The sequence below is a fragment of the Homo sapiens genome, chromosome 3 (assembly GCF_000001405.40).
Source record: "Homo sapiens chromosome 3, GRCh38.p14 Primary Assembly".
Taxonomy (NCBI): domain Eukaryota; kingdom Metazoa; phylum Chordata; class Mammalia; order Primates; family Hominidae; genus Homo; species Homo sapiens.
This window is the reverse complement of record NC_000003.12, coordinates 105,412,091-105,438,792: the sequence shown is the minus strand read 5'-3', so window position 1 is coordinate 105,438,792 and position 26,702 is coordinate 105,412,091. Positions and strand designations below refer to the sequence as shown.

At 33.6% G+C, this 26,702-nt stretch overlaps 1 protein-coding gene across 4 annotated transcripts in view; it reads right to left on the bottom strand.

Moving 5' to 3' along the window:
- The window catches only part of ALCAM (activated leukocyte cell adhesion molecule), a 209,992-nt gene that overhangs the window by 138,108 nt on the left and 45,182 nt on the right, over positions 1-26,702 (bottom strand). The window lies entirely within an intron of this gene.

Genomic DNA, 26,702 nt, shown 5'->3' with positions numbered 1-26,702 from the left:
CAAGAGATCCTCAGCTTCCCAAAGTGCAGGGATTACAGGTGTGAGCCACCACATCTGGGCTGTGTCTCTATACAATATCTGTAGCAACATGATTGCTTCATCACAGAGACAAGTATTTGACATTTTTGTCATTAGTCAACATTTGCCAGTGACACTTGTAAAATTCAAGTATTGAGAATTACAAGAAAATAATAAAACCTATATACCTAATAAAATGTTTGCATAATAATTAGATAATTCATTATCATATAATTTTGGTATCTATTCTATGGTGAAACATTTTCTTTTAACATTTATCGATTAAATCCTCCCTAGTAGATACTGAATAAATACATTATTGAATTATAGAGATTTTTCATGTTTTTCTGAGACTTTTTAAAAGCTTAACTAACATTTTAAAAATAAAATTATGTGTGTCCCTTATGTATAAAGATAAGTAAGTAAAATGCCAAGGAGTCCGAATTATGAATAATAGATTATGTCAGCAATATGGGGGAATTATGTAAAAAGCAAACATGTTAAGTATAGTATAAAGTTGTATAATATAGTACAAACATATAGTGTAGACTATATACTAGATCAGTATATAGTCTGTGAAAAATTAAGGATTCTCCATCATACCCAGTAGCAGAAGATCAATAATTGGACTATCAAGCTCATACTTTAAGGAAGATCACATTCTTTTTAAAGGACATGACAGATATGACTAAAGGTTTAGAAAGCAAAGGCTATTAGTGGGCAGCAGAGGGAAAATTCTTGCTTTCAAGTTTATTTTACATCATAGGAGTGATTGTTTAGAGACTTATTTATTTACAAATAAACTTTGAGTTTAGGCTACACCATTTCCTTTAAAATATAAATGTGGCCTAAATTTAAGATTGATAAAAATATACATTTTCCTACTATAAAATATGAGAGTTTAGGAATCTCTTCTTATTTATAGCTATAAAATAAATTGCTTCTAATTTGTATAGAATAGTTTAAGTATGGTATTTTGAATACATTTAAAATTTTAAAAGGAGTTTTACACTATTGTAATAAATTTTGGGGTAGATTTCAAAAGAAAAATTTTCCACGTTAGATTATTTTCTTTTTCTTCCTTTGGAGGAAAAAAAATGTACAATCAGAGGAAGAAGCTATTATCCTAGAAAGATGATATATGTATTAGGACAGCAGTCTCTTAAATATTATAGCTAATTGGATTTCCCTACCATCTATGTACCAAAGGGTTCATGTAATATAGTTGAATTAATCAGAATATCTTTATGCATTCAGCTTGTCTTCCTTATTAATTATTGTGGATGAAATGTCCTAATGTTTTAGTCTCATTTTTGCCATGAAGTCCTATTATTGTCATAGAAACATATAGTATTTCAGAAATTGGGAAAGGCTTATAAAAAAACAGCTAAAGATTTCTCCAAAAGGTATAGGAAAAATAATCAAAGCAAATAATTACTTATAATAGATGATATCGGTTTAAAAATATATAATTACATTTTTAGATATTTCTGTTATAGGCAACAATCAGTTGTAAGTAAAATAAAAAAACTTTAGCAACTTTGAGCTCCTCAAAATTACAGAGGATGAAAGTGAGAAATTAACCAAGCAAATCCAGTCTTAGACCTAATATTTGAATCCAAATAATTCCCACATGATGAAGTGTTTTACACCAATATTTTTGCCAGAGGTCAACATATACACTGTCTCTCCCACCAGATTAAGAGTTACATAAGGACACAAGAATTTTTTGTCTGTTTTGTTCACATCTGTATTCTCAGTGTACAGGACACATGGTAACACTTCAAATACAGTTGTTGAAAGAATGGTCCTTCCCTTTCTGACTCTCTTTTTCTTCCTCTTTGACTTTTGTTTGTAGTGGATATCTATTGCTTGTGATAACCTAGCAGTCATTCACCCTTCTGGGAATAGCACCCTGACTGTCATTGCATCATCACTCCTCCCCAGTACTCAGTTTATGCAGTTCAGGAAAGTTGACTTCATTCCCCACTCCAACCCTGACCAGCTCAAGAGATGTGCACATGCTTAATTTGGCCAGAAGAAAGAGTCCATCTTATTGAATCATAAGATTGATTTAGATGGACATGTGAGCTACACTAAACTAAGAAGACTCAGTTGAAGAACTTTTGCTAGAACTATTAATTTAAAAAAATTAAATACAGGCTCATGCCTGTAATCCCAGCACTTTGGGAGGCTGAGGCGGGTAGATCACGAGGTCAGGAGATCAAGACCATCCTGGCTAATACGGTGAAACCCCATCTCTACTAAAAATACAAAAAATTAGCCGGGTGTGGTGGCAGGCACCTATAGTCCCAGCTACTCGGGAGGCTGAGGCAGGAGAATGGCAGAGCTTGTGGTGAGCCAAGATCGCACCACTGCACTCCAGCCTGGGCGACACAGTGAGACTCCGTCTCAAAAATAAATAAATAAATAAAATAAAATAAACTGTTTACACTGAAGTTGTTGAATGGATGGATTTTAATCCCTGCCATCCTAAAATACACTGGCAACAAGTTGTCCAAATGAAGTCAAGACAAGGGAAAACCAAACTAATATGGTTTGGCTCTGTGTCCCCATCCAAATCTCATCTTGTAGCTTCCATAATTCCCATGTGTTGTGGGAAGGACCTGGTGGGAGATGATTGAATCATGGGGGCAGGTCTTTCCTGTGCTGGTTCTTGTGACAGTGAATGGGTCTCATGAGATCTGATGGTTTTAAAAACGGGAGTTTCTCAGCACAAGCTCTCTCTTTGCCTGCCGCCATCCATGTAAGATGTGACTTGCTCCTTCTTGCCTTCCACCATGATTGTGAGACTTGCCCAGCTATGTAGAACTGTTAAGTCCATTAAACCTCTTTTTCGGGAGGCTGAGGCAGGAGAATGGCGTGAACCCGGGAGGCGGAGCTTGCAGTGAGCCGAGATCGCGCCACTGCACTCCAGCCTGGGCGACAGAGCGAGACTCCGTCTCAAAAAAAAACAAACAAACAAACAAAAAAAAACCTCTTTTTCTTCCCAGGTTTGGGTATGTCTTTATCAACAGCATAAAAATGGACTAATACACAAGTGAAGCAATGGTAAGATGTGCATTTTGGCATCATATAGGCTCTGGATTCTAGGCCTGCAGCCAGTCCTACCCCATTATTTCTAAGTTTTATGTGACCCAATAAATTTCATTTTTATGTAATCTAGTTTGAGATAGCATCTTATTACTTGCTACTAAAAGAATTATAACAAATGAATCTTCCAATACCATTTTATCAATTACTTATGGCCCTATAAAGAGTAAAAATGAATAGCACTGTGCTGACATTGAGTCATATGATAGCAATGGAAAGAAAATAGTGACAGTCATAATGTGCTCTCAGAAACGTCCAGCAGGGTTTGTGTCCTCCTTTTATTTACTCAGGAAAGTACTCGGATTTAAATTCAGAAGCAGTAAGAGTGGATTTTATTTTACTGTTAACAGCTCTAGGAGACACGTTTTTTGTTGTATGACTTGTCACTGGTTGCTTCAGCACTGCTGACTATAGGTATGACATCAGTTATAATTAATCTTATATTTTTGTCAGTAGTAAACAACCATAAGCATGGTTTAGAAACAGATAAAAAAATACATATTTTAGAAAGTGATCATGTATTAAATCATATAGAAGCCTAAAATGACCTGAGGAGTCATTAACCTGTATGCCCTTGTTTTACAGTTGAAGAAAGTTAAGGAATTGCCTGATGCCATATCATTGATTAGTAGCATAGGCAAAGACTATAATATAGCAAGCCAAACAATGATTTTACTTATTTTCATACAACAGTTTCTCTCCAGAGGCTTGCTCTTAAATCACATATATAAGGATTTTAAAATATTAAGTTTAGGATGCGTTTCACATGAAGAAACTGGTTGACAGTTTACATATACATGTATAATCACTGGGAGAAATGGCAAGAAATTTCATTAGGTGCTCAACTAAATAAGACCTCATTTAAACAATGATTTCACGAGCACCTTCAAAATTCCAATATAAACTTACCCATGAGTTAAGAAATAAACTGCTTCATTTCTAGAGAATTAACTGTCTTTAAGTCAGTGAAACATAATTTATCTAATGTTACTTTAGTGTCCTGACAATTTAATTTATCCCTACTTACCAGTAAGAACAGGTCTATGAATTACTTTAGTAATTGCCCAAGAGGATAAAAAGGCCAATGTAGAATACATTTATATATATTAATATATAAGATTTTTAGTGAAAAACTCAAAATCGGAGGAAAAATAATCTCATATTTTTGAAGTAAGGACAAGCCATTTTAAATTAAAATCTAATTTAAAAGAAACAGATGTTAGCAAAGCTAAGTTTTAAGTGCAAGCATATTTCATCCTAATTTACCATGGGCTACAGAAAACTGAGATAATTAGTCAGGATGAAATCTTATGTATTTGAAATTTCCCCCAATATTATACTTTGTTTTCCTGCATGTTTTCTCGCTCCAATATTAATCATAAAATATTTTATAGTCAAACTAAATGATCACAGAATGTGACAAATAAAGAGTGCTTTGAAGTTCTTGGATGAAAAGCTCTGTGTTAGCACAACACATTATTAGTTCCATAAATACCAAATAATTTAAAAGGGAAAGTCACTTCATATGGAGAATAGACAATATTTTAAAGTTGTTATGAATCATGAAATTCTTAATGTCAAGGATACCTTTGTCTTATATTTTCTGACCAGTCTTATAATTAAGCCCTTTCCTATATCCCCCTTAGTGGGACAATGAAATAAGTGATGTTTTGGGGGATGGACATCAGAATACAAAAAAACAACTGCATTGATCTTAATTACTCAGTTTTCTTCCTGGCAACAGACCCAGGAGGACTGTTTTTGCAGTGGGATAGACTTTAATTGGTAGATTCAATCCCTCTGACTAGTTCATCAGATATCCATTACAAAATTTAAATGCACTGTCTATAATCCAGTGTTCAGTATATCAGCTTGTCTGAGAGTGTGCATATATTTCTTAAGGTGATAGAAAGCCCTTTCCTATATCCCCCTTGGTGGGACAATGAAATAAGTGATGTTTTGGGGGATGGACATCAGAATACAAAAAAAAACTGCATTGATCTTAATTACTCAGTCTTCTTCCTGGCAACAGACCCAGGAGGACTATTTTTGCAGTGGGACAGACTTTAATTGGTAGATTCAATCCCTCTGACTAGTTCATCAGATATCCATTACAAAATTTAAATGCACTGTCTATAATCCAGTGTTCAGTGTATCAGCTTGTTTGAGAGTGTGCATATATTTCTTAAGGTGATAGAAGCAAGGTCAAGCTACTCCTTCTCTTTAGTCCCATCCGAAAGAAGTAAAGGAAGAATTTAGTGACTTGGACATCACTGGTTTTCAAATATTCTATGCAATATAGTGTTCAGGATCTTGTAGTGAAACACTTTTTGCCTGAACTACCAGAATGTTCCACTAAGCCAAGGCAAGTTCTGACTGGAAAACGCATACTGAACATCCATTTATCAATTAGGCCTGTTTCTCCTTTATTAAATTTGGCTTCAGGATTTGGGCACCTAGAATGGTGAAAAGCATCTGGCAATAGCAGAAAAATTAAACTAAGAACAGTTCTTAGAAATCCTTGTAGCCTGATTATTATAGCCATAAGCAAGAGTTTTCATTGTCTCTGAAAGGAGGAACAAGTGGTATTTATGCTAAAGTTTAATGTTTGCAATCCTGATTGCTTTCCTATATGGCCACTTCTTAAAGTCTTCTGAACAAAGTTCTCCAGCTTAATATACCTGAAAATCTTTTTAGTGTTGATATTAGTTTGGAAAATTGGTTATATGAAGCTGGTTAATATATGCTCCTGTTACGTTTCACAGAATATGATTAGAACAAGAGTGTATATAAATCCTTGTAATAACATACTGGTTTGTGCCAGTCATTTGTTTTGCTGAAACTCTGCAGGACAATTTCCTTTCTAGTATGCATTTTGCATTCTATTATGCAAAAGAAAACTATTGGAGTGGAGTACTAAGTAAGTAAATGTAAAAGTGTACATCTTGGAAGGCAGGAGTAAGGAGTTAGTAAGGAGTTTGTTATGTGTGAAGCGCTGTGCTAAGTTTGACATTTTATGTAACACTTAATTCTCATTAAAACCCATATGAGGCAGGCAGATTACTTCCTTTTTACAGATGAGGAAACCGAGGATCAGAGAGATTAAAAAAACAAAAACCTTTTAAACCAATTTTACAAAAGAGAAAATCGGAATATCTACCTAGAGCTTCCTGGAGGATCTGAAGCTCACATCTTTTTCAAAACAAAATGCTACCTCAAACATAAGCAGTTTTCTATGGGAAGTGTAATAGAAACTGCTTCTTCCAGGATTGTATTTAGAACTTGAGATATGAACATTGAAGTTTATGTTTAATTACATTTCATACATTATTTTCAAATGTTTTAAGAAAAAGGGGACTTATTTCAGATGATTTTATTTGAATTTTTCTACAGAAAAAAATAGGATTTGATATGCATGAATTCTTAAAGCTTAATTTAAACAAACCCTAAAACGAAAAATTTGCAAGTTGTATATTTTGCAATTGTCAATAACTCTATTTGAAAGAGCATTTCCATGGAGACCTCATTATAAGTAAGAGTTTATGCTTTACTGAATATTCTCTAAGAATAGAGTATTCATATGTCTAATTCTGTCATAAATGTATATGGAAGAGATTTATAGGCTTAGCTTATTCTTTCGTTTTTTCAGACCTGTTCATTATTACAGCTCAAGTTTTGCTGCATGAAATCTTCATTCATATTGGAAACATACTCTGTTAAAAAGCATTTGTTCAGTAAGATTTCATTATAATCTAAAATGAGTGCAGAATTGAAAAGTAAATTACTATCATACTTTTAAATGATTTGGTCCTCAGTTTGGGAAGAACGGCTTCTGAAATATGACATAGTTAATGATAATGCTGCACTTCCACTCACTGTCATAATTCATAACAAAAACAGGGTGAAAACTGATTTCAAAAATAATAAACACACACCCATGAGAGCTTAGACTCGTTCCTTTGTATAGTTAATGCATGGTAGATTGATTGGTTTAATGGTCTCTATTCTTTACCCTTTCCTGTAGACACTATATTTGCCATGTGACTTTGCAGTTTCTGGCACCACGGAGTTACAGTCTATTTCCCCACTTCTTGAACTTGGGCTCACCTTATGCTGTCCTTTGGCCACTGTAAGGATAGCAAATGGGATACAAGCAGAAAGCACTTACACATTTTGCTTACTTGCCTTTGCTCATCGCTATGACAACAAGCTCAGGCTGTCCTGCTTCATGATGAGAGGCAACCATGGACCAGAGCTGAGTTGCTCCACTTATGTCATCTGAGGCATTACTAGCTCCAGATGACTCCCCCTGTGACCACTCCACCTCTGCCATATACACATATGAGTGAGCCCTGCCCAAGTCAGCCAAACTTAACCCAGATCAGCTTACCCTGATAGATTCATGAGCTAAATACATTTTCATTGTTGTCTGCTGCTGAGTTTCATGGTTGTATACAATGCCACATTACTGTGGCAATATCTAAATTATATACCATGTCTCCTCTTTTTTTTTTTTTTGTTTCGAAGGATATAAGTGGGGATTTGCAATTAGGGATCGAGTACCTCTTAATAGAATATACTTTCTATTTTTAAATTAAAAAATGGCCCATGAGCATATTTTTAAGTTTAGGTTCACACTAAATTACCATTAACGTCTACTATGTTTCTGGCATTGTGCTAGGAACTTCCAACCATAAGTAGTTCAAAAGATAATGTCTGAAACTATTTGAGCAACAAAATAGAGTAGTAATGGACTATAATTCATAGTATAAAATAATATCCATATTCATGAGTCCATACTGATAGGATGATTAAATACATTTTAAAATGGAAGATAATAGATAAGTCTCTCATGCAGAGCATAAATCCAAACAATTTAAGTAAATGCTCCACACTCAAAAGGGTGGAGGATAAATATTCACTCCTTGGAAAAGCAGCTTCTGGAACATGAGGTGTGAGCTTTGCATAGTGACTTCCTTCTAAAGACCACAAAATGAAAAAAGGGAAGAAGCGTAACTTCATAGTGGAGAAATACGGCAACACCAACTTAGCCAGGGGATCAAGGACAGTAGTAAATCATGTTAACAGTAAGTACCCTTGATTTAATGTGATGAGAATGCCATTTTGCCTCTGTTGTTTTCCTCCCAAAACCCAATGACTGTTATCCCAATATTATCATAAGAAAAATGTCAGACAATTTCAAATAAAAAGACATTCTAGTAAATACCTGACCAATACCCCTCAAAACTGTCAAAATTATTTTTAAAAATGTAAAGTTTCAACAACTGTGACAGCCAAGAACTTAGAGACACGATGACTAAACATAAAGTGGTATGTAAATGTCACAGAAAAAGGACATTAGGTAAAAACTAAAAAAGAAAACTGAATAAAATATGAATTTTAGTTGATAATAATATATCAATATTATCTCAATTGTGATAAATGTACTATAAATATGATATTAATATAGAAGAAAGTGGGTATAAAGTATAAGGAAACTCTGTACTAGTTTTACAACTTTTCTATACATTTAAAAATATTCCAAAATTAAATTTCTATTTAAAAATATAGTGTCCATGAAAATGTGTTGATATATTGTGTGTTTATTAAAATTATCATACATTGCTCTACTGCATAGATTTAAAATTGTGCAGGACTGGTTATAAACAACCTTTTTGTTTATGTATTATTAATTTGTTTGTTTAACTTTCATTACTGAGTAAGGCTCTCTTGAACTTTCAAGCATAGCTTTAAAAAGTTCAAAAATTTATAATTTTCCAAGCATTACAATATAGAAATGAATTTTAACATATTGCTAATTTAATGTAGATCAATAATAAAACAGTACTATCTCATTTTTAAACATAAGTTTTGTAGGTGAAAATAATTCATTTTAATTCTAAAATGCATTTAAATGAATAGTTGCATACTATTTTAATGTAATTTTGAAAATAAAATGCAAGTTACATAATCAATTGGTGTTCATTACATTTTCTAAAATTATTGTTAAATATCACTTCTTGTCACATTTTCTCTGGAGAAGATTAAAGGTAGGGTCACAGGGATACCAGCTGTTTAAATACTCTTTTTGTTTATAGTGCTAGCTTAATAAATAACCAATTTGTTTAACAATTATAACCTTTATTCAGCTGAAAAGCTTTCATGGAGATCCCCTAGATGTGGAACATCATTTTTTAAATACCAGGTCATTACCTTTAATAATTTGATACTATAAATGTTCAAGCTAGTTCATATGCCTGTGACTTAAAAAATCAAAATATCCAATGGGCTTTGGTAAGCAGGTCTAAAAGATAAAGGAAGCAGGTGTAGAAGACATTTAATAAAACATGCTTCTCATTTTTATTCCTTTTCTGTTTGGTTTCTTGGGAATCTCTGTTTGACAGTGAACTCCAGTGTATTTGCTTTGGGCAGATGCTTTTATTCTGAGTCTACTGATGTGGCAACCAAAAGAAGGATGACAGAAAGTAAAGTTGAAACCTAATATTAAGTTTTAAAAGCAAAATAGATTTTTTGCAGATGGAATTTGAGTTTAAAAAATTTTAAATGGTGGCTTAATAATTATTATCTAAACAGGCATGATATGAAGGCATAGATTATTGATTCTGACCATAGGTTTTATAATGAATCACATTGTTTGATTTTTTTCCTGTAAAAAAGAATATCAAGAAAAATTCATTGACTGTGTTTCTTTTGTGCCCAATATGATGGTTTTATCAAAGGTTAATGGAGAATTGTAAGATACTAAGGCATAAAGATTAAGGATTCATTTTTTCTTTTTTAAAGGGCTTATTCATACCAATTCCAGGCTAGTAGCACCACATTGTTTTTCTTGCATGTCCTCACAACCACATTTTTCAGTTTTAATATAGTTTTCAATTTATTTACTTCAGTAGTATTGATCTAACTTTGCTTTGGATAATGGTTCACACAACAACTACCATGTTTCTATAGGAGAGGCAAATAGTGAACTTATTGAGAGATACATAAATACAGTGTTCTTGAATTACCTTTTGAAAGTGACAATTCTGAAATACTTACCAGAGGTCAGGACTGTAATGTCTATCTTTGCACTTTGCTCAATATCTAGTTTCCTCATTCATGAAATTGGCACAAAATTAAATAATAGTATTGTACTCATTTCTAGTATTTATAATATATCCATTATATATTTAAAAAATACGGAGTACTCAATCTCTTCCAGGGCCAGAAAAAAAGAAATATTATGATATATTAGAAAGATGAACTTTTAGAAAAATCTTTTCAAATTAGTGGTTTAGGGCTATAAGGGTGAAAATTAAAGTTGAAAGATAGAAAGAAAATTGTTGATGTGCATGATTTTCTTTTTAGGCTTTATTGTTTCCAGTCTGTTTAAACTTATGAGGATCACTGTTCTGTAAGAAGGATATTTTAACCCTGGAAAACATTTAGGTCAAAACATCTAAACTTCTAATTCTAAAATTGCATGATAATATTTACTCAGTCATGGGGTATTTACACAGGATATGAGAGTAGTGTGGTCCCAACAACACATAGCAACTCCCAGCCTTTGCAGAGATTCAAATATTTAGTTCAGATATTTCGTGATTACAAATGAATAATTAAAAAATAAATTAAACATTTTTTTTCTTTTTCAAAATTTTTGTGTGAGTAGGAGCCAAATATATATTACCTCAATCCAGCTTATTATTTCCTATTTTATTTAAAAAAGTATAATAGGTTTTCTCCAACCTTGAAATGATTTTTCTGGAAACTTTCTCTGTGTATCATTTAAAGGTGTTTTCCAATGGTAAGAACTTTGTGCATATAGTGGTTAGGTTTTCAGAAGAGCCTATGGAAGCCAAAGAAGAATATTAAAAAGCACAGGTGAGTTAGGTTATGCTGGGTGTATCTAAAAATCGGAGAAACTCTATGAACCCTCCCCGCCCCAAAGACACCCAAACTCTACCTACAATTTCACAGAGTAAAAAACATTGTACAGCTTATTTAGGGACTATTGGAAGCTCAGGGGTTAAGAGCCCTTGTCCTAGGCAAGGTGTCAGATGAGGGGAGGGGGTGGGTAGATGAAGAACACAGTGGATACTGAAAGAGACTAGAGCTTCCTGTCTTCAGATTCCTCTCTCTTTTCCTCCCCCTTTAAATGCTAGCTTCAGCCCATGGTGATGAAGCAGTGGGGACAGGGGGCCAGAAGTGGCAGCCATGGAAGTTTTAAGGCAATCTATGAGTTTGCCTTTCACTGCCAACTCTTCTTTCCTTTCTCTGCTTTTCAGCTGTTCTTCTTCCCTTCTTCTCTACCTCTTTATTACAGAGGAACAAAAGCAACAGTAGAGGTAGGGGCAACTGCAGCTTGTCAGGTAAAGAAGGAGCACAGGCAATGAGAGTCCTTTCCTAAAAGGGTGAGAGAGATTACCTTGCCTCTCATTCTGTTCTCCTAGTTCCCTGGCCTCCCTCTCTATATATACTCTCTTCTTCCTGTGTTTTCTTTCTCTCCATTTTCACCCTGGGCATGGGATTTCTAAGAACCGAAGATACTTCTTTGAAAAGGGTAAGCAGTGGTGACAATAAGGAAAAGATTTCCTTTTTTTCCCCTTCCTTCCCCACTCCTTAAAAATCCCTTCTCCTAGGACAGAACAGTCCCACTTGGCTTGAGGAAGACAGATGAATTTCCATGTCTCCCCAGAAGGATCATTGTATATAAAGTACAAGACTGCCTATATTTTGTTAAGTTGTGCTTTTATTTAATCAATAATAAAAAAAATTGAAAATAAGTTTAAAAATTGTTTCCTATGATTCCTTTTTGTTGTTTTTTTGGGAGGTGGGGGCAATCATAGCCATACTTATGTCCAAAGGAACAATATAAATATTGTTAAGTACTGTTAAGTATTCCTAGTTGCATAGGAAGTTAACAATCTAATTTGCATAAATGGAAAGCAAGTTCGTTGCTTTTCCTCATGTCAGAATACTGAGGGGCTTCTTTGTGAAAAACACTTGTAGAGATATTTGTCAACGAGTACAAATCTACAGTAAGATAGGAGGGATAAGGTCTGGTAGTCTATTGCACAGCAGGATGACTACTATGATATATAATACAATAATGTATTCCATATTTTAAAATAGCTAGAAGAGACTTTTTTAATATTCTCATCATAAAGAAACTATAAATGTTAAAGTCATGGCTATGTTAATTACCCTGATTTGATCATTACAAAATTTATACATTTATCAAAACATCACATTTTGCCATAAATATGGTACATACCATAAATATGTACAATTGTTATATGTACATTTTAAAGAATATAATAATGTTTTATTTCCAAGATATTATTAAAAGAACCTAGGTACCAACAACCTTAAAAATACAATTAATATAGAAATGTGATTCTTTTGATTTGACACTAGGTAAAAAGATCATTTAATTTAACCTTCTAATTTTACCAGTTAGAACACTAAGGCCCAGAGAGCTTAGATGACTTGTCCTAGGTCACTCAGCAAGTTAAAGTCACTAAATATAGTTTGAAAAATACCCTGACTCTCACTCAAATTAAGTGTCCAATTCACAACTTTAACATGTGAAACATAGACTAGACAAAATGGGAAAAATAAAGCTTAGTTTTGCTGTGACCTAAAGCTAGCATTTCCTTCTACTGAAGGGATAGGTCTCCCATGAAAACTAAGAATATACATGAAATCATGTAAGCATCTCCATTTGAAAGAGCGCCTGTTCGCTCTTTAAGAGAGGAACAAATCACCAACCACATAGCCAGTTAGGTAAAGATTATTGCACAAGTTTTGAAAAAATATTTTGCCCTTTTAATGATCATGTGATTGATACCCCAACTCTACAGAATCTACTCCACTTTAAAGTAAAAAAAAAAAAAATTAAAAATATGCCAGTGAAAATCCCTAGTAGCAGCCGTATTAATATTTTTGCTACATACATATTAGTGACTATTTAATTTATGCCTACTTGTTATAAGGTTCTGCATGGTACATTTAAAACATAAGCTTACAGTTAATCAGAAGCTAATTAAAAACTTTCCACTATAATTTTCTGTGCATGCTTTCATCTGTAGTTTTACAGGAGTAATTATATGATTTTTACAGTGCAATCTATTTAATTTTTGTGATAAATTATTTTTTAAATCATTGCTGGAGAATGAAAATCGTTTCTCCGGGATCAGAAGTGTGTAGCAAAGGCAAAAAGCATAAGACATCTCCAATGCCCAATGCAGGAGTCTCCTTTGAAAGACTGAGAGGTTCCACTCTGGACAATGAGGAAATTTTGCCTCCCCTGCCCTGCTCAAGCCTAGGTATATAACATACACACAGGCGCACACACAGAGCAAATAGAACCAATGTGTCATCAAACATATGAGGCACAGCATAACCTCAAGTAAATAAAATAATTTTTCATAGAGACTCACACTTATGCTAAAAGAACTATAAAAGAATTCAATAATAATGAAGTACAAAACAAGATTTCGAAGGTTCTGAATTTTACAACTGATAACTCTGTTGTTAAGACAACCTGAGGCATCTTTGAGCCCTATTCTCCTCATCTGTAGAATGAGAATCAAAATAGCTAAATGGCACTCATAGGTTGGAGGCAGTATAGTGAAATTGAGAGTAAGGACCTTCATGCAAAACACCCCAGAGTTCAAGTTCTAGTTCTACCACTTACTGCATGGTGCTAAACACAAGGGCAGACACATAGCATGTATTCCATTTTGATTTATTTACTAGGTGAAGGAGGCCAATCTCTCAAGTCAGAAAGTAAGGTACTCTTTCCCCTTATTCACCTATTATAGTCTATCAACGTATCATTTGTTTCTTATAAATATCTATGGTTTTCTGGACATGGTTTTATTAACCGACACCATTTTAGTCTGGCTGTGTGACCTCACACCTAGATTCCTACAAAATCATCCTCACTTGTCTTGCTAATCTTGTCCCCTTCCAAACAGATTTATCTTTTCCTGCCATCTTAAGACATACCTAAATATAATCAATGTCTTCAAATGTCAACCTCAGCAAATTCCTATTATAATGCCTGTCTTTTCAGATTGTCTTTAAACTGGCCATCCAACTATTCAACATTACCTACCCACAACTCTAAAATCAAGAGGGGTAAATTCTCAGTAGACCACCATGAAACATTCTGATTTCAACACCAATATGCTTATGCTCACAATATTTATTTTGCCTGAAATGTCCTGTCATCAATGTAATGGAAAGAACATGATTTTGAAATTCGGACTATTCTAAGAGTTCATCTGAATTCTGGAATTTCTTAGACGTATAATTTAGGATAGCATGGCTCCTTGCAAAATGAGAATAATAATAATTACCCAACAGGCTTATTGTGAGGATTAAATGAGAATACAGTAATTAATAGTATCTAGGATTTGATACCATAACATGGCTCAGGCTTCATTTTATTCTTTACATATGTTTTTATGTATTTGATACCCACAAAAACCCTACAAAGTAGATACAATTTCTCAGACACAAGGAAATTACAAAATGGAGAGCTGAAGTAAATTCCTAATAAATAATATCTGGCTTCTAACCTGACAATTTTAACCACTAAAAAACCCCACATATCTAGAATAGTGTACATGGCACATGTACCAAAAATGTTAGTGAATGAATGAGTAATCTGAAATGTTAATGAAAATATACATTAAAAACATACTAGTTAGATGTCCCCCAAACTATTCAAATAAGGGTAGCTTATTTAATTCAAGACAGAATAGTCATCATGAATCTAAGTTACTGACTATATGATTAGGCTCTTTTCTCTAGCTGTGTTTCTCTTCTGTAAAATGTGTGTGAACTTTCAACTACAAGCTCAAGAGTTTGTTAAAGTGGTGATTGCTTTGAACTTTAAATACTGAGTTCCTTATGTTATAGAATGAGAAAACATCAATTTGTAGAATAAAATGACAGATGTGTGTGTATAAATTTCTAGCGAAATATTTGCAAGTGTTGCGTTACAAACTCAAAGAATTTAATACTCATCTAAAAGAAATCTTGGTCATTAAAGAAACAAACAGAGTCCTGGAGGAGAATTAGGCAGAAACACATTGAACAGAATTTCAGGAAGACCTGATTATATGATGTTTTCTTTTTTTTTTTTTTCCCTGAAAGAACAGATGTTAAAAAAAAATGCCTAGTAGCTATGATTAACTATTACCCAAAGTTAAAGAATTATTCAATATTAAATTTCTAGGATAACTGATTAAGCCTAATGTTAAGTCATTGGCCCTGTTTGTTCTGCGCCAAAAGAATCTGTACTCAAATGAGACGCCATAGACATGATAACAGTCATTTGTCACAATATTTATTGTTTTCATAAGCCCTGAAAAAGTGCATCAGATATTTTTATTGAATAGTGGGAGGGAGAGGATTTCTCAAAGAACCAAGGATATTATAGTAGTGAACTAAAGACATTATAATATAATGTTTATAATAAATTATTGCAATAAAACTCTTACTCTAAAGACTTTGATTCACCATCTACATTACAGGAATGCATCTCTTATAAAAAATTTCTATTTCATCTTGCTCTTTCAAACAATGTACTTGTGACCAGCTGTTTCTTTCACTGCTAACAATGGGAACTTACATTAGAAGATTCCAGTAAAATTATATGACATAACTATACATTATGTTGTAAAATGGGATAGCTACTGTATTTTCAAGGCCGAACTAGTACAACTGATAGTTATGAGTGTAATCATTTCTGAAAAGCATGTTCAGTTGTTCAACTATGTCATTCCCCAGAGTAATGACTACACTTTCCTTCTGTCCATTAATGCTTTTCCTCACTCAAACATTTTGTATCCCACTGACTCTTCAGGAAGAGGTTGGAGAATAAGTTCATCTGGCATAATTTCATTATTATCAGTGGCTTGAACACAAGTTGTTAGAAAAAGCTGTTCTATCTTATTATTATTGAATGTTCTGCTCCGTAATACAACAAAGAAATCCAATACTGTACCATAATGACAACATTTAGCATGTTGCACACATTAAATGATTACAACAGCGCCATAAATTAAGGAAAGGCACTATTTTCTCCATTTATCTTTGTGGTCTGGAAGAGTACACTTTTTTGCCCAAGGCTATAAAATATCTCAGGGGCAATGCAAAAAATCAGAAACTTTAATTGGCAATTGGCATACAAAAAGTGCATTAGTTCAGATAAAAATCCAGGAGTAAAAAAAAATTTCTGCCTGAATGCATTACCAGTACCACTGGAAATAATGTTGGAATCATTAGTTGTTTTAAAGTACTTTTATCCAGTCATTATATGAAAAAGACATGTGCACAGGTATGTTTATAGCAGCACAATTCACAATTACAAGGATATGGAACCACCCTAAGTGCCTATCGACCCATGAATGGATAAAGGAAATGTGGTATATATATACTATGGAATATTACTCACCCACAGAAAGCAACGTAAAAATGTTTTTACTAGCAACTTGGAAGAAGCCAGAGGCCATTATTCTAAATGAAGTCACTCAGGAATGGAAACTCAAATACTGTATGTTCTCACTTATAAGTGGGAGCTAAGCTGTGAGTATGCAAAAGCATACAGAGTGATATAATGGACCCTGAAGACTCCAAGTGGGAAAATTGGGAGTGGGTTGTGGGATAAAAAACTACATATTGGGTACAATAAACACTACTTGGCTGACTGGTTCACTAAAATCTCAGAATTCACCTATGTAACTCACCCATGTAAAAAAAAGAAAACTTGTACCCCAAAAGATATTGAAGTTAAAAAAAAAATTAAAAACCTCAAGAAAAGTATTTTCATCTTAAAGAGGCTAAAATTGTTCAACACTGAGACCCCAGAAGTGGAACAAAATGTTTTAATCTCATCAAAGTTTTGACTCAAGAATGAACAAAATTCTTTTAGAAATTTTCTTAACTACAGTGCTTCTTCTTGAGAGATCCACTTTGAATGCCATGGATTGGTCACAGCTGTGGAACCTAGGATTTCTATGGGTGACAAGTCTTAATCCACATTTCAGGGTAGTTCTTTTCTATCAGAACCATTTCCTTCTTAAGCCTTTATCAGAATAGAACAGGCTGAGGAAAAGACTAGATATAATTAAAAGTAATCTATTTGTCTTCTTTTTTTAAAAATAGAGAATTCTTTAAATTACCAATTTTGTTGGCATTTATAATAAATGTTTATTATGAATTGAATATGTGGTCATTGAAATTTGGTATTATCAGTGTTACGTTCATCACAAAGAATTAAATTGCTATGGACCACAAAAGAACCATAGCACAAACACAATTCTCCTTTTCTATCAAGGCTGCAATTTATCTCCTCATTTCTATATGTTTCCCTCTTATATTTAATTCAATCAGACAGACAATTGGTGGTGATTATTAACTGTGTAAATGGAACCACTTGCTCATTCTCTCTGAACCTATTTGTTCATCTCTACAAAAAAATTAACAACTCTTACCTGAGAGGGTTATTACTACTATTAAAAAAGTAGTATAAGGAAAACATCTAACTCCTAAAAACAGTGCTTTAAGTACTGCCTGAGGAATAAAAAGAAATATTTACTATAGATCATTTTCTCACAGGTTACCAATGCTTAAAAAAAGTTGCCCCGGAGTTAACTTTTTACCAATCCATCATTGATTTCCTTGCTTAAAATACAACCAAACTGTGTCTAAGCCCTTGAATACTCTTCCTCAGAGATTACAAATCTCCCTCTTTTTACTTTCCTCTCTTCAGTAAATATACCTTCTGCACCTCCACCAAGATATGTTGTTCACTCATTTTTGTTCCCATAGCAATATCTCCATTATAACCCTCAATCTCTGTGCATTATAATTAGGTGTAAATATGCCTGTCATCTGTGCTACTCTGTGAAACAAAGAAAAGTTGGTTCTTATTTGTCTCTAGATCTTTAGAAGCTGGTAGCTGCCTGGAACATGGTAGACTTTCTCTAAATGGTGGCTGAACTGACTGGACCAGGAGTGGCATTAATAAATGTCCTGTGAGCTAAGGAAGATATTATGACAAAAGTTATTCTTTGATAGGACACATAATTTCCAAAATTCAGTAATATAATTCCAAATAATCTCATCTAGCAAAGCAATTCATTCAGCTTCATTTTCTAATTAGCATATTTTGGCTGAAGTTTAGATGCAGCATTTCTTCACAGTAACATTCTCAGAGGCAAAGTTGGGTTCATTTTTAGTAGATACCAGTGTGCAGAACCTGTCATTTTCTTTAAAAAGAAAAACATTGAAATGTGTTCAGTGCCTACATAAGTAATGTTCTTTATTTCATTTGCAGAATTCTATATTAAAAATACTGAGAAGACCATTTTTTTAATAAAGGTGTAGAAGACAGGGATAAAGAGAGAAAGGAAGAGAGAGAGGAAGAGGAACATCAAAGGGTGGCTCTTTTCGAGATGTTAGATAAGGCAACCATCTCTCTATGGTAAAATTGAAATACTACCTTTTAGAAAAAAATTTTAAGTGTTTTATATTTGCTATTTTTTTGACTTTAAAATATGAAGTAACATTTGCAATTCTGCAAAAATTCCAAAACGGTTTTTTTATTTGTGCTTGTATATATAAAAAGTCTTTATCTCTTTCTCTGACTCACCCGTCTTCCATCTATATATCCAGATAGAACCGTGAAGCTAGCTGTGCCAGGCACACAGTAGGCACTCAACAAATATTCATGTTGGCAGATGGAAATGAATTATATGTTTATTATTTGACCTTCTTCAGAATGTGAATCATGTGATATTATAATTACTTGTATGTCACTATTATTCATTCTCCAGGGAAATTTAATTTCTTATAACCACCTGCTTATTTTGGCCACAACAAACTGTTAAGTTTCAGATAAGCAGCAGCTACTTCAATTGGAAAAATAAGACTCCTTTGGGACAACTAATACTTTCTAGTCTGCCATATTTTTAAAAAATTCCCTATGGGAAATTTTTCTGTTTCAAGGCTTAACAAAATTTTGCTCTTTATATTCATTTTCCTTCTTTGTCCCTGGACTTTCCCTGTCAAAATGACTGTTGAAACATCGTGCAGTTGCTATGTTCTCTGCAATGCAGTTTGGCGTATCACCTCTACCAGCTGTCAAGGTGAATGCAGTTTAGCCCTTTCTTGATGTACTTCCTCATTTTCCCATTAGTGCTCTAGAACCATTAGTGTTTCCCTGACTTTTGTTCTTTGTTTTCACTTTTATTAGTTATGTCTTATATAGTCAGAATGTACCTGTTTCTACACTATTTTCTCAAATGCAGCAATGAAAAGAAGTGGCGTCAATCTGAACGTGACTCAGAAATCAAGTCGTCTATTTAACTTATAGACATTCCAGAATTATTCTTTAAATTCAATTCCTTTGGCCTCACTGTAGAGTTTCAGGAAGTAGATGAAGAGAACCTAACTTTAAACTATAATACTACATTATTTTTAAATTATGGGGGAATTTATTATTTTGTATACATAGGTATTATATAATAATTTTTATCCTATATAATACAGCATCTTCTTCTAACAAGCTATAAAAATCAGAGACCCCATAGATGCAGTTGTATCTGGAGGCAAAGGAAAATGATATCTAAAGAAAGTAGGATGTATCAATTGCTCAAATAAAGCACAGAAAATGGGATTTGATAAGGAAGGTTTATTTGTAAGAAAGAAAGAAAATGGTAGAAATGAAAGAGTAGGAAGATAAGAAATTCGGTGAAATGTTTTGGGGTTTGGTGTGAAAGTAACAGAATTTGTGACCAGAAGTCTTTTTTTTTCTACAGTGAATATCTGGAAAACTCTAGAACCTGAAGATAAAATTGAAGATCTATAGTATCAATCACTGCTTTTGCTCTATATTTTTAAAAGCATATTTCACCCCTCATTTTACTTTGGTCATAGTCTTCTGATGTAAACACCCCACTACCCCAATTTCTGAGGGAAATGCATCAAATTAACTTAGTGGCAAGACAAAACAATACAAAATGACACACACCAAGAGAAAAACATAACCCAATTCTTCAACCATTACAATCCTCCATTTTAGAACACGTTACTCTACTAAGTGAATTTGAACTGTCATTAACTGTTTTTTTTTTCTTTGCTTTAAATCTCATGGTAGTAAAAACTGATTGAAAGAGGCACATCTGCTTGATCTCAGATTCAGGAAGAAATAGTGCCATACTCAACCTCTCAGTTGTTTCTTAATACAGAATTAACTTCAAAGCTTTTAAGAATTTAAATTCTTACTCCAATGCTAACCAACACACACAGTACCCCATGTGAAAAACTGAAATCTAATTTAAAAATGGACAGCTGGTGAAGATTGCATTTTAATATTCCTAAAACCAAAAGAGTTACCTCTTCAATGCCTTTGTTCTGTTTTCCTTTACATATCAAGTAAGAGACATTTTAAAAATACACAAGATTTTCATTAGAGCTTATACTTGGTGAATTTAAAGGCCTTTGTAAGAAAGACCACAGCCATATATTAGTAGGAGGAAATGAGAATGTAACGAATTTTTTACTCAGGGTGAGTCAGCATCAATGTACTACATAATCACATCCCTCAAATCAATCAGCAAAAGGACAATTCTTTTTTCTGATACTTTTACCTTTAGATCACTGCATCTCCTCCTCAGATTATAGCCAAAAAAAAAGAATATTCATTTTTGAAAAAAAGGGGCAGTAAGTCCTCCATTTCTAGGGACACTAAAATGGTTTGTCATCAATCACTCCAAGAATATTGACAAGAGGGACCAAATTATCTTCTGTATGTCCTAAGAGAAGATACAATAAAATGGCATGAATGCTTTACACTATTCAATGTTAATACTACTACTTTGGAAGAACAACTTTATAAATGAAAAAAAAGAGGAAGTAAAATTTATAGAAAATATATTCTATGTTAAGTGCTTTACCCATGTTTCCTTATTTTACTCTTACAAGAATAATGAGGAGACTATAATTATCTTACAATTTCCTGACTGAAACAAAACAAAATCAAAGAAACAAGGCTAAAGAATTTGTTCAAAGTACCAGAGGTAGCAAGTGGCCGCGCTGGGATTTGAGCTTAGGTTTGAATGGTTAACAAAGCCTAGCATCTTCTCACTATAGTTTATTCATCTCATTCAACAATTATTTATATAATATATATAATACAAAATATCTATTTTTCATCTATGTTATATATACTTGGACCAAACTGATGAAAACAATGAAATTGTCTCTATTTTCAAGGAACTTAAAAATTAAATAGCAGACCCTGAATAAGAGAATACAACACAGAGAATGTAGTGTAAAAGTATAAAATTCTAGAAATTTTAATAAGTCAGCAGTGGGGTGAAATGGAAAGATATCAGGAAAGCTTCTGGAAAAAAGTCACTAGACTTGAAGAGTAAGTTTACCCAGGCGACATAAGAGCCTTCCTGGAAGAGGAAATGGGGTGTGTGAATGTCTCGGGTGGAAGTGGGGCTGGGAGACATTTTTGAAAATAAGGAAAGTTCAGAAAAGCCAAAGCTTGAGTACAAAGGTGATAAAGAGGAGATGAATGGCACAGGGGAATTAGGCAAAGGACATGTCATGCTGGGCTTTTATTATAGCTCATATCAAGGATTTTAGACTTCATATTAGAAGTTATGAGAGGCTACTGAGACATTTTAAGTAAGAGGTAACATGATCAGACTTAAATATTCCAAAATTCTCTCCAGCTCTATTATGAGTATGAATTGCACAGTATGCAAGGGAAATGTAGGGAGATGAGTTAGCTATTGCAGTAATTCAAGGAATTATGAAAATGAATTATATCTAATTTATTAACATTTATCAGTAATTCAAGGAAGAAGTTATCAGTAATTCAAGGAAGAAATGATGGTGGCTTGAACTTAAGAATACGGCAATGCATAGAAATAAGATGAGTGAAGATGTGTCAATGATAATTCAGGACATTGGTCTAAAAATTGGTCGAATGGTGGTAACATTTATCAAGAATGGGAACACAGGATGAGGAGCAATACGGAGCAATTGCATAATAACGGTTACTATTATCAATAATAATAATATGCAATTGCTGAACTATTACTGTGATCCATAAACTGAGCTAAGTATATTATATGTATTATTTATGGTGTGATTTTATATATAATTTTCTCACAACAATGCTCTGAAGCAATTATTCTTATTATCACAATTTTATAAGTAGAAAAATTAAGAACTGAAAAGTTTAGTAAATTGACCAATATCACATAGCTGGAATGTAGCAATGCCAACTATATAGGGTGTATTAAAAGAGTGTTAAGGAGATATTAAATGTTACATTTGGAAAAACACAGCTTCAGGCACATTAAAGTCTTCCCTTAAGGGTATAAAGTCTTACAGAGACATCCTAATGACTAAGTATCCTTCAATGTAAACAGTGATAAGGAGAGTCTTATCCTTAAGACTTATCCTTATCCTTAAGAGAAAGAACAAAGTCAAGTTGAGAATGACAGATGCAGCAAAGAATCAGGAGCCAGATAGAAGCTAATAAAAATGGGCTGAATTTGGGGACAAGGAGAGAGTTGCAAGACTGCCCCAAAGAGCTTTATCCAGCATATCTGGTTTGTCTTAGCAAATAAATTGCGCATGTCATACCTGGTTGCCTTAAATTATAGAGATACAATGGAGAATGTCAATTTGAAAAGCCAAAAACAAAATAATAAACTTTCTTTAGGCCCCAAAATATTTTAGTTTCTATATGTTTTAACTATACAAGCTACATATAGCATGACAGCAAAGCCTAGAAAATAAATTATCTTTGTAAAGTGTAATGATATTCATTTATGGTTGCATCAAAGCAAGCCACTAGCAAAAGTATAATGAACATAATATTTTGACATAAATCTGTGGAGGTAACTTGAAAAGAAAGAGGGCACAGAAAGAAAACAAATATTTTAGGAAAAATATATCACTTTAACAGAAATAAATAAAAGGTTATCGATTCAAAAAAACTAATTTATGTGTGACCAATTTGATGCAACATGCTCATTGTTATGGTTTCCAGAAGAGAACCAATAAATGTTTCTTTGGCTGATATTAATGTGGCCTTGGGGCTGATCATCAGGTTGTTTTCCTTTAAAAGAAAGCTGTTGTCAGTGGACAGAAATGTTTATTTCCTATGCAAAAGCTAATGCTGGGGATTTATTATTTGTTGATCTCAGCTTATCTTCTACTTTACACAATTTTTGCATGTCTTTTATTTGCTGGGCTTCCAAAGACAGCATGGACGCATCTATAAGATTTATTTGTATCAGGAAAACCATATGTTCCATACTTGTTCTTTTTGAGGCACTTCGTCTCAACTAATTAATCCTTAAAACTCTCTGAGACCAAAGGGATGAAAGCAAGTAATTATGTTTACAGAGAAAGCAAATTGAGGTACCTTTCCTGGAGTCTTTCAGTAAATAAGCACGGGAAAATGGACATCTATCAACTCTTCCAACATGTGCTCTAAAAAGGACTACGCTGCATGTTCAGGCTGCTAGACTTACAAGTCATTCGAAACACTGTTTAACAGAGGAGGCCAAACTATCCAGGCTGACATAGATCTCTTGAGTCAGCTCTATTTTCACAGCTGAGGCTCTAGGTCAGACGATATCTGCTTTTTCCCCTTATCTTCACATTAGCTTCCTAAATGCTCTCCCAGCTTTAAACTCACTCTCTGCAGACATATCTTAAACAATGGCATCAGGGTTATCTTTCTCAAATAAAAATTGGGTTTTTTCATTTCCTTGGTCAAAAGCCTTTGATGTATTCCCAATATATACAAAATAAGATCACACACCTTGGCCTAGAATTCAAGTCCTTCTTCAATATAATTATAAGTTATGCTTTTAAAATTTATGTCCCCCTATATTCTGACCCTTAGCTCATTTTTCACAAATAAACATAACTGCACATACATATAAGCACACCAGCACCCTACATTTCAGTACCCTGAACATGCTCTGAGCTTTCTCAAATCCAAGTCTTTCTTTGTTCATGCTGTTTTCTAGAGAGCGTTTAAACTTCATAGCAGCCTCCTCTTCCTTTCTAGGTCACTTGCATAAGGAGGCGTTCCAATTCACTCCATTCAGACAATCCTGTATTCCTATTCTATCTCACAGTTTCCTATTCTATCTCACAGTACTTTATTTTTGTTTGTTTGTTTTTGAGGCAGGGTCTTGCTCTGTTACCCAGGCTGAAGTGCAGTGGCATGATCTTGGCTCACTGAACCTCCATCTTCTGGGCTCATACAATCCTCCCACCTCAGCCTCCTGAGTTCCTAGGACCATAGGTGCGCAGCACCACACCTGGCTAATTTCTGCATTTTTTTTTTTTTTTGTAAGATGGAATTTCATCATTCCATCGGTTTTGCCCAGACTGGTGGCAAACTCCTGGGCTCAGGATATCCGCCAGCCTCAGCCTCCCAAAGTGCTGGGAATACAGGTATGAGCCACTGCACTCGACCATTTATGCATTTCTTCATATACTTTTACTGACAACCGTAAATTAACCTCTGTGTTTCTGTCAATCACTGGATTTTAAGTCACTAAGTAGCAGAACTATATCTAATTTATTAACATTCATCATCCCCCTTTGCCAGCATTGAACATGATGTTTTGCATATAGTAGGCATTAAATTTGCTAAATGGAACTAAATAATGTTTGATAAATAACATCATGGCACATGACCATATTAGGCCTAACTAATTATTTATTCTTCCATTTAGTGAGTGCAAAACTTTAGTCAAAAACATTAAACATACTATTTTCTAATTACCTTATTTTGCATTATTTAATTGAAAGAAAGTGTAATTAAAAGGAGGCCTCTAATGGACAAACACACATTGCAATAACAGCAGCTGTGGACACTTTACTTATTCAGTATTAAGTCTGTTCTATGTCAACTATGGAGATTCTTGACATTGTTACATCTGTACTTCCAAGCAACCTATTAGTTAGCTATCAATGATCTCATTTTACAGATTACAACTGAAGTTCAGAAATGGGCTAGGTGACTTATCCCACATCCATCTACTATGCACCAGAGGAGGAAGTAGATATCAAGTATGTTTGACTAGAGTCTGCGCATATTCTAGCCTACAGCACAATCACCCAGGTCTGTAAGATTGGAAAGATGTGCAAATGTGTAGAGAGAAGATGGAGACACTATTTTCTATTCTTATTTACAAGAAAATGTATACAGAAATTTAACATCAGAAGAAATACTGTACAAATATACACATATAACCTAAACTATATGGTGTTATCACATGCATTTTAAATCATATATAATAATTACAAAATGTTATCTCCACTGACACCTATCAAACATCAGTCACTGTATGAAGCACTTAATTCACTAATTAATTTAATCCTCACAAGGGCACTGAGATAAATAATATCATTATTCACATTTTACAGTCGAAGAAATGGAGAACTTAGAGATGTTACTAACCTGTACAAGGTCACGTGTCACTATGCTAGTTGGTGGTAGAACTTTTGTTTAGAACTGGGTCTACCTGAATGGCAAGATATATTTCTTAACTACATGCACAAATTAATAGAACCCAAGCAAAACTTAAGCATCTAAAACTGTTAAATTTAGATAAATATTTAATCATGTTTTGTTTATTATATGATGAGTGATTTATCGGCACAATGTTTATGATCATTTCCTTTAAAATCTTTCCTTGAGAGAAATTCTATTTAATATTCCTATTAACACACCCATCAGTTCTTATTTTGTATCTAATATAAAATGTTAAGCCCTTTGGATGAACATTATGTATTTTGTATTTTTATTCACACATATTCCAAGTATTTTCCAAAATTAGGTGGCTAGGAAAACTTTTTCTTAAGTTAAACAAAACGTCATTTGCTTTCTCCTCATGTTGACTTCTGGGGCTCAATGTAAGTTGTTTTTCTTCTGAAGAGCATAACACTTAAAACTGTAAATCATCTCACGTGTAAAAGAAACAATATGACACTTTCAACATTCCGATTCTGAATTACAATTCTTCTACTTCCCAAACGCAAAAGTGCAAATACAAGATTAATAATTTGCATAAAATGAAGTCCATATGGATCGCTAATTTTACTAGATTTGAGTATAAAATTATTCTCCTTTATTTTACCTCTAACAGTGTTACAGTGAGAGGAATACATCTGCTTAAATTTCAAGTACTGCATTTCAAATTAATTATAATTATATAGCTCAAGTATTATCTATCATATCAGTTCACAATGAGAATAAAGCACATTTGTTTCTAATTCTTTTTGACCTTGATGTTCTTTGTTTCACCACAGTCTTCAAGGTTATTAAGACAGAATCCTGAAGGAAACCAATGTCCTAATTATTTGGACACATAGATCTATTCCTCCCATTCTAATATATTAAACATTTAAGAATTACTTTATAAAACCATAGACCTGAAAATGACTCTAGAGGTTTATCCCTTCTTTCTCAGGGTTTTACTTATAGCATTTTATCC